General features: G+C 39.3%; 2 annotated features.

The window, feature by feature from the left end:
• Nucleotides 313-931: an enhancer, noted in NCBI's record as "OCT4-NANOG hESC enhancer chr7:38110217-38110835 (GRCh37/hg19 assembly coordinates)". NCBI's record gives its function as "activates a minimal SCP1, AML or CMV promoter by ChIP-STARR-seq in primed H9 embryonic stem cells {active_cell/tissue: H9 hESC(primed)}" and the evidence as "EXISTENCE:reporter gene assay evidence [ECO:0000049][PMID:30033119]".
• Nucleotides 4,832-5,032: a silencer, noted in NCBI's record as "peak6493 fragment used in MPRA reporter construct". NCBI's record gives its function as "represses an SCP1 promoter by STARR-seq MPRAs in K562 erythroleukemia cells {active_cell/tissue: K562}" and the evidence as "EXISTENCE:reporter gene assay evidence [ECO:0000049][PMID:32103011]".

Raw genomic sequence — 10,172 nt, 5'->3', positions numbered from 1 at the left:
AAGTTTGAATAACAAGTATTTCTAGAGTTGAGGATAAATGAAATAAGCCAGTCAAGACAGAAAAGAGATGTTCAGGCAGGTAGATGGAAACTAGAAAGTGCAATGTCGAGGAAATCAGAGAGAAAAGTGAAATTTCAACAGGAAATCAACCGTTAGTATCAACTTTTATAGAGAATCAGATAACGTGATTTTCAAGCGGATGAAATTGGCTGACCCTTTTAGAACCTAATATTGGAATACTGTCTAAAACTTGTTTAACACTTAATATCATTTTTGGAAATTGTAAAATGCACCTGGTGCTCACCAATGGTTTAAACCTTGATGAGGAATACATACACACATTTGCTTTTGTCTTCTAAAAATCTCATTTTCAAATCAAACCAAATGCAAGATGGATCTAAAATCTGAATCTCAGGCTCTTAGACAAGGCAATACTGCTTTGTTATTTTGCTTAGATAGCCCATCAAAATACAAACCATTCAAGAAGTCAGCTGCTGCTATAAAGGTCATCTGGAAAGCCCAGGGAAGGACCATGTGCTGCTGCTGGGAAAGGAAAATTGTCCTCTGGGCTCGTGAGCTGGTGTGTTTGTCTGCTGAGTGGCTTCAGTGGTTTTATCTGTTGCTGAAAGAGCCAGAGAAAGGGATAAAACAGGACTGTAATCTACACCACAATGAGCTGGAGGAGAACAGGAGCCAAGTGAGTGTTTTGTTTGTGTGCTGCCTCCTCTGGCACATTGAATTGGTGCAGGAATTGTATGAGTTTTTAATCATCATTCAGATATGAGTGATCCAAGCTTGGCATTCATTGGGTTTTTATACAGCTTGCTAATAACCCCAAAGTGCTAGCATCTGCAACTCCCAAATTACAATTTTCAAAGCATAGTGATATCATAGCATGAAGGGTAAGTGCCTCCCACAAACTTATATCACATATACATTCATGGAATAGTCTCAGAGAAAATACTAGATAGAACTGATTTTTGCTTTCAGTTAGACGATCTCTCTGCAGATTGTCAGCATCCACAGATTTTGATACATGTGGGGGTCCTGGAACCAATACCCTGCAGATACCAATGGATGACTGTACTGATTGCATTTCAAATCATGAAAATAGGATGGAGATCTGTCATGGTTTCGATCTTTGAAATTCAGATGGGTTCTGAGGTTCAAACACTGGGCATTGAAAATTCTCTCCTCTTTTTTTTAAGTCTTTTTCTCTTGTTGCTGAAAACCTCAGGGATTAATCTAAATAATAAATGATAAGGGTATTCCATTAAAAATATCAAACTGATTAGCAAAGATGACAAAAAGAACAAAACTCAATCTTTATGGAAATATGAGGAAGTAGATGTCTTTTCTTTAGTAAGTGAGAAAACTGTCCCATATCTTCAGGAGGAAAACAGTGCAATAGGAACCAAATCTGTAATTCTTTATTGAGTCAACATTGATGTTGGTAGGAATTTATCCTAAGGATCTAATAAGTCAAGTGTCTAAACAGCTAAGTGTAAGATGTACTATAAACTTTAAAAAAACCTACATGTTTAACAGTGATGGTATTGTATTCCATTCTTTAGGTGTTGTTGATTTTATGTCCTTTAAAATGTTGTGGGAGCATATTTGACATAGAAACATGTTGTGTTCTTTTTCTTACTGACAGTTGAATATGAAAAACATTTAAGCCCTCAGAAAAATTGAATGAATTGCACAGAAAACACCCATGTAATTACACCTAGATTCTTTAATTAAACTCTCACTATACTTGCTTTATCACAGATCTGTCCATCTATCTTTGTCCATCCATCAATCCATCTTTTGCGTAATGCATTTCAAAATAACCTGCAGATATCAGTTTACTTCCATCTAAATAGTTTGCATATGATTAACTGATATCAATTTTTTTATACTTTTCTAGGTAAAATTCACATAAATGAAATACACAAAACCTAAGTGTATCATTAAATGAATTTTGACAAATGCATACACCTGTGTAACGCAAATCCCTGTCAAGATATAGAATGTTACAATCACCTAGAAAGTTTCATTGCCTATTTCTCACTTTCTGCCTTGTCCTGCCACAGCAGACATTCTTCCAGTTTTTCTATCATCGACAAGATTTACCTGCGCTAGAACTGCATATGAGTGGACTCATAAAATGTGTACTCGGCATGTAAAGCTTTTTTCACTCAGCATTATTTTTTGAGCTTCGTCCATATTGTTTGTGTATAGGTGGCTCATTCCTTTGTACTGCTGAATCCTACTCCAGTGTTTAAATGCACCACAGTTTATCCAGTCTCCTGCTGAGGGACACCTGGGCTGGGAAAGGTGTAATGTGCACGTGTAATGTTTTCTTAAATCATCAACATCACAACAGGGAATCTCCTGGGTGGTAGATTTTGGAGACCAACTTTTCTACTTACATGCTTTCTAGGTCTTCTACAATTAACCTTCAATAATTAACAAATAATTTACCGTTTTGAATTACTAGACTGCATGTGGTATACTGTAAGGAGCTGATAACAGTCAACATTGAGCTATAAGCCGAGTCTCCTTCCCTGAAATCACTGGGAAGAACAAAAATGTAATGCTTGGCTGGAAGAGCCACCACAGATGACCGTCTCCCCACAGAAGCCTGTAAAGCCACCAAAGTGCTATCTGTGGAAAAACATCTTGTGAAAAACTCTTTTCTAAACAAAGACTCAGACTGGAGCCCTGTGCCTGGATTAGAAAGCCACCTCGTAAAATCTCCCAAAGCTATTTTTTCTCTTTCTTACAAAGATGGTGAATTGACCTTTTCTTGTTTCCTAGGGAGAACAGGATGAAAAAAGAAATAAAGTATTTTACTAAAGGTGATTGAGAATAAATAATGAAGAGGGGAAGCGGGAAATCTAAGCTTGTATGAAAGGGCAAAAAAATTAATGCCCACTAAATGCATTACCTCATCTCATTAAAGCCATGTGAGAAGCAGAGGGTTTTAGTTTCACTGACAAAGTGGGAGTAGTCAAGTGATATGACTTGGCAAAAATCATGAAAAGTGGTAGCTTATTACTTGTGAACCATAAGTCTTGTGACTTTATTCATAAAGCAAAATTCTTGTGCCTTTATTTGTAAACCAAAACTCTCCCTGATTTATCTGAAGACCCTCAACTGTGTAATTAAATTTACATTTTTAAAAAGTTGTATCTTAATTTGAGGCATTGTGACTTTTGTTGGTCATTGAATCCAAAAGGCAAAACAGGGGTCATTTGCAATGAACAACTACCTTGGTGGTCTTCAGGTGGATTCCCAGAAGCTCAAGCCTTCCTGAGGGACCCAAATAGGAGAGTTTCCAGTTGTTGGAAAATGGGATTGGAGGCTGAGAGCCAGTCCTGATTTTTCACCCTGACTGCTCTTACTCAGAATGGGAATGATTCAAGAGCACAGGATTACTGATGGGGAAGGAACAGAACCTAGACTTTCTCACTTTTGATTTGAAAGTCAAGCCATTGGATGAAGCTTAGTTAGGACCACAGTGAGGACCCTTGGACACTGTGGTTCCATGGTGCCCCAGGCCTCCTTCTGCACTTATCCCTTTTTACACAAAATGAGCTAGAATGAGGCCTTTGGTCAATCTGCTGTGTGAGGGCCTCAGAGAGCAGGCCTGAGCCACAGGAAGACCAAGGGATCCTGCAGTTGTCTGGGTTACTCTTCCAAGAAGGCCTGAGAGAAGGATCACTTGGCAGAATAGTAAGCAGAGCCCTGGATATGGAATCAGCAGATGGCTTTCAACCCTAGCTCTACCCAAGGGGTTAGGGCTTACCTCTTGAAGGCTCAGTTTTCCAATATAGGTTGACAGTATACCAAAGAAAATACTTTACTATGTTAAAGCACTTGCTACAGATCCCAGTTTTAATATCCTCAGTTAGAACAATTTACTCAGATTTTTCTTAAGCACTCATTTACTTAACACTTTGTGTTAGGCATTGATGATTGTATAAAGACAAATAATTTAATGATTGAAAACTTAGACTTTAGAGTCCGACTATCTCAGTCTGACTTCCAGCTCCACTTGTGGTAAGTGGAGAGAGATTGGAAAGTTATTCAACCTGTCTCTGCTTAGTTTTCTCATCTGTTAAATAAGAATGACTAGAGTAACTTTCTCAGGGTTATCATGAGTATTACATGAGTTAATATTTGTAAACGACTTACAACAGCTCCTGACCAGTGAAAGTGCCATCTATTTTGCTACTATTAATGTTATTAGCCATGATACCTACTTTGAAGAGGGGAATGATTATAGAGATGAGAATAACAATATATTCAGCTGTTGTTCTGATAAAGTTATTGGTACAAAGGATACAGCAGTCAACTTGTGTATGAGCCAGAAAGTTAATAATAACTTACTTGAAATCAGAAGTAATCAATCAACCAAGAATTGCTATGGATCACCACCCCCTTCCCCACCAAAAAAAAAAAAAAATTGTAAAGAAGCTATTAATGTGTCCAGGCATTTCAGGTCTGGGCTGATGCAGTGTCCTGTTATGGAATAGGATCCACCAGGGCCCCAGAGCTCCTAAGTGGATCCCTTCAACTCCATCTACCACCATAAGTAGCATGGGTGAAGTGGGGAGCAATCCCAGGGAGAGAGCTGTGGGCCCCTTGTGGTGGTCCCCTTGGGGGTCAACTACTCAGTCCAGGCCAGCCGTCTGTATAATCCTCTCTCTTTTCAGAAGCACAGCAATCTATGCTGGCCTTTCCTATTGGACTTCCCCTTTCTTTTCCCAGATTCATTTCTCCAGAAAGAGAGATTAGGAAGAATAAAAAAATCGCACAACTCTTTCCTTTTCTGCCTTTGCTAAAATTATCCTGATGCGCTGGCCACAAAATACCGGTAACTCAAGAAGAGGAGTCGGCCAGGAGTGTGTTGGGATAGAAGATAAACACGAGGACCAGTTGGAGAAGGCAGGGCAAAATCAAGAAGGCAAGCCAGAGTCAGAGACCAGCTGTCAGCACTGCACTAACAGCTTGCAAGGGTATGGACACATGAAAGTTAAGCCAAAAAAGGGAACAAGCAGAGATAATTATTTCTAGGGTAATTTTTTTAAAAAAATAGTCATATTTTTAAAAAAATGTAATCAGCCTGCATTCATAGTTATCCTATGGGATTTCTTAAAGATACAATTTGCTAGGTTTGACACAGTGTGTGTGTGTGTGTGTGTGTGTGTAGCTCAGTAATAAAAAATATACATTTTATATATCTATAAATATATATTTACATAAATAAATACATTTTACTATTGAATTTTATGAAGAAAGTTATAGAGTCCAAAAAAATCATTAAAAATGTACAGTACTAGTCTTTCAAGGGAGAAGAAATTCTCAGTTTTTTCTCCCTAAATGCAGTTAACCATTATGAACAGACAGTCCATAGAGAGAAGCCCATAGAAGCACCATGAGGTTGAGTCAAGCAGCAGGGTAAAGTGGTGGGGGGTCTGGAGGCAGGATGACAGACCTCATGTGGCATCAGGATTGAGTGCCGTCCCTCTCTTGACCCAGGTGGATACCGAAAGCCCATTCTCGCTAGTCCTCACTTGCAGGTGCAGAAGCTTTCCTTTCCAAACTCCATTGCATTTCTCGATGTCAACGCCCCAACGTCTTTTTAAGAAACCTTTATGGATGTCTTGGGCCATTGAAGAGAGGGAAGTTCTGATTGAGGACACCTGGGATAGGACTGTCTTGGTTCACAGACAGTTCTTCCTGCTGAATGATCAACAAGTGATAGGTGGGTGTTTATCTTTGTATGATAGCCAGGAGAGTGATCGAAGTCCTCCTCAAGAGATGTGTACAGAGCTGTCTTAAAGGTAGTGGACCCTGCAATTATTGGCTCAGCTTGGAATGGATTGCCATGTCTCTGGCAGAGGTTGGGCCATCTTCCAACTCCTTTGCATCTGGTCCCTTCAGGTGTGGTCCCCTTGCATGGGGGTCCACTGACTTCCTCCCGGGTCATGTGCCCTCCACATCGCAGGCCTAGCTTCCCTTATGGGGAGATGGTGTTCAGGTTTTTCACTGAATCTCCTTGTAGGATAATATTAATGTCATAAACTCTATCCTCGATTCCATCAGGACCTAGTATTTTTTACTCTTAAAGTCTGTGTTGGCAATGTTCTTTTAAGAACTTGTTAATTTCTGTGCCGTTTGTCGGGCTGGCTGGCTGGCTGACACCTGTGCTGGATCTTCATTTCTGTCTCCAGCTTCTTGCTCACAATCCCTCCATAGAATCCCACATATATCAGAATATGGACTGTCTTTGGCCGTTTTTACACAGCTTACCCTGCATGTTGAGACCTAGAGACCCTCAAGCAAGAACCTGAGAAAAATAACCTTCCATTCCAAGTTCAGGCACAGCCTCCACAGTAGATAACTCCTGGGGACAGACAACTATGTTACATTCAATCAAATATTCTATGTTTGAAATACAACTTCTTCAGAATTGGAAGAAAACACTTTCAAATATTGAATTTCCTTCCATTAGGTTAGCATCATCTACTTTAGCCCTGGGCCTAGGGCTTCATCCTAACATACCCAAGCATTCTGGCCTCTACCTCGATGATACTAAAGTCACATCTTTTGCTTTTCATTATTTCTGACCCAAATTAAAGGAATTAAGACAGTTTCTCTTGCCTTCAGATTCCCAAGAACCACTGCCATGGCCCTCCAAGATTTCAATGGATTCAATATTTTAGGGTTTAGAGAATTTAAGAAGTGGAGGGTGAGATGCAAGAGAGAACAAAGAGAAAACAAAGACTTTATCCTTGCTCCCAAGCCATAGCCTCTCTCTTTCCCCTCATTCTCCTATTTATCAGCCTGATTTTCCTCAATAATTCTCTTCATTTGGATGATTAGGAGTTTTACCAGTTCCTTCTTTATGACTGTGTGGAAAGCAAGTTCTAATTAACATAAGGAGGAGGCCTGGCCCCTGCTCAGGCCTCAAGAGACCAAACCAGGACTTCTTCAGTTCCTCAGATTTTGGGGCGTATGGGAGCTCTTCAAATCCCAGCTTCATTATGTCATCTTTCACATTTGGAGAATATTTTTGAAGGAGTTGATCCCCTTAGGTGATTCTGGTGGAGGCTGGTGTGTGGGGAGACTTCTCCCCAGCTCCTTGCTCTAACTGCCCTGGGTGTGGCTGGAGGTCTCAGGAAGGCCTCGAGTCAGGAAGAGTACTGAAGCCCAAATTTTATTTTGTCCACTCCAAGGGCCATTTTGAAGTAGAGTGGTCACGTTCTGCTAAATCATTTGGGAAACATTTTCTGAAATTTTAGCTTGGGATTAAATGGTAGGAGGAGACCCCGATCTCTGGTGAGTTGAATGGAAATACACTTTTCCAAAACAAGTGGGAAAACTTCTTCAGCACATAACTGAAGACTGAAATATATGTCCTAAATATCTTCCACAGACTAACGGATTCTCCTCTGGCTAAAAGACCCCAAAATGCTAAATTCCTGGCCATGGCAGGACAAAGGCTGGCCATCTCCCATTTGCCTCCACCTCCCTTCTTGATAAATGACTGCCGGCTGCAGACTGGTTTCAACTGGTCTCCAGAGGATGCACAGTTCCTGGACTTGTTCCCTACATTTCACCTTTTACCATGTAGGACCTATTTATAATGCATTAAAATGTTAAATCTCCATCCCAAAGCGAACATGGGTCATTCGTCGCCATATGTCTCATACACATAATATGCATATGTTTGGTGCTTTTCATGAATATTCATAACATGTTCCTATATCCTATTGAATGTGTATGTTCTGCCTCCCCACTTAGCATAAATAACTACTTCTTCTTTCTCTCATTTGAATCATGGCTTTACATTCAAGGTTGGAGGCTCGCTTTCCACCTGCAGGACATACCCCCCTTAGAAATAAAGTTCTCCTTTGCATTTGCTGGCATTGTGACTCTTTTTTAGTTACATACATACCTCATTTCACTGTTGACCCAATCTGAGCATGGCATAACACATCCTATTTTTAGACCTGTGATGCTAATTTAAGACACTGATTTTACGTTCATTTATTCAGTTAACAGAAGAGCCTAAATTCAAGTGAGGGCACTGCCTTCAGTGCAATAAGACAGTCCTTGCAGTCCCCTTCTAAAACAACTAATTTGAATGCATTGCCTAAGCAAACCTTTTGAAGTTTCATATGGTGTAAATTAGGAAAGCAGTGGAACATAACATCATAAAAGCATTCCGAGAACTTGAGAATGAAAAATAATCTTATAAAGAAAGAAACAGAGTCCTAAAATGAGAACGTGAGACTAAAGTCATAGATTCACCAACTTCATAGCTGTCAAAACTCGAGAACCCATTCTGATTTTTATTTTTTCCTCTTTAAGTGATGAAATATTTCAAACACATAGAAAAGAGTAGAGAAGAACATATTGAACATTCTTCACATAAAGTGTTGCCCTATTTTAGCACAAAATCTTTCAACCTGAATTTTAGAGCCCTGTATACCCCTCACTGTCTCTATTTTTCTTTCTTCCTCCTCAGAGTTAACATCCTTCTCAGTTTACTGCTCATCATTTCCTGACATGTTTTTGTTTGTTTGTTTTTTCTGTTTTGAGACGGAATCTCGCTGTGTCACCAGGGTGGAGTGCAGGGCAGGATCTCGGCTCACTGCAACCTCCGCCTCCCAGGTTCAAGTGATTCTCCTGCCTCAGCCTCCTAAGTACCTAGGACTCCAGGCGCCTGCCACCATGCCCAGCTAATTTTTGTATTTTTAGTAGAGATGGGGTTTCACCATCTTGGCTAAGATGGGCTCGATCTCTTGACCTCGACATTTTAAATATAAATGGAGGAGCCCATGAAGAAGCCAGAAGAAACAGGAGAACAGAAGAAAGATTAAGGAACGTGATGTTGTCACAGCGCATCACTGAAGAGTTGAAGTGGTTAACACTGTCAACAGGAACAGGCGCTGTTTTAGGAAGTATTATGAGAATGCTCAGTTTTCATGTAGGAAGGAAGAGGGGAATCGAAGAATTTATTCTACCACAAGGAAGAAAAGCATTCAATCTTTTTCTCTGCCCACAGCCCCTAAAGCACACAATTAAGTTCTTTCGTTTAGAGAAATTTATGTGACAGTGCCCAGAATAAAAGAATTGCAGACTTTATAAATAAACTACACATGAATAGTCTCTGTGAAATAGTTCAGAGTACAGTTTCTTCTTATCTGTTAATATTTCCACCTATAAGAATATCACTTCAAAAAACATTGCTTATCAAAACTAAACCCTGTACAAATCCTTACCCAGTATGTTTTGTTGCCTTCTCCAAAAGAAACTTGAGAGTTGAGGTTTGGAGCCAGTTGGAATTCCATCATCAGCACTTCACTGGGCAACATTGGACATGTTATTTAACCACTATGAGCTTCAGCTTCCTCTCTCTTAAGTGGAAATAATAGGTTTGTTTTGAGGATAAGTCAGTTAATACATGTAGTAAGTGCTTAACAAGTTGCAATAATGCTAAGCTCTCATAGATATTTTAAAATGTCATTGCTTTTCCTTTTGGTACCTCTTCTTCTCAACATCTGTATCCAACTTTTCTATGTTTGCAACCTATGGCTTTTGTTTACATGTACTTATTTGTAATTGCTATTCATATAAACAGTGTGATGTCTGCTTGAAATAGTCGGGCTCCTGCCCGCCTCAGAACTTTTTTTTTTACTCCCAGCACTTGTATGGCATCTCACTCTTAGTATGTGACACAATAATAGACTGAAGAACAAAATCATGATAATCTTGGCAGAAGAAGAAAACGTGTATGATGAAATTCAACATTCATGATTTAAGAAAAACACATACTCTTAGCAAACTAGGTTAAAACAGACCCTTGATAATCTGAAAAAGAATATCTACAAAAAACCAAAAACAACAGAACTTCAGCAAATGTCATACTTAGTGATAAAAATAGAATTATTCCCTTTGAAACTGGGAACAAGGCACAGGTGTTATCTTTTCTATGCAGCATTTTGCTCAAGTTCATAGTTAAATAGTCAATATAATAAGGCAACAAAAAAGACATGAATGGTATAAAGTTCAGAGATAAAGAAGCAAAGGTAAACTTCTGATATATGCAGTCAATATGATTCTATGTAAAAATTAAAGTAATTCACAGACAAATCATAAGAATTAGAAAG

Source organism: Homo sapiens, chromosome 7, assembly GCF_000001405.40.
Source record: "Homo sapiens chromosome 7, GRCh38.p14 Primary Assembly".
NCBI lineage: Eukaryota > Metazoa > Chordata > Mammalia > Primates > Hominidae > Homo > Homo sapiens.
The sequence above is the reverse complement of the archived record's forward strand: the minus strand, read 5'-3'. Positions and strand labels throughout refer to the sequence as shown.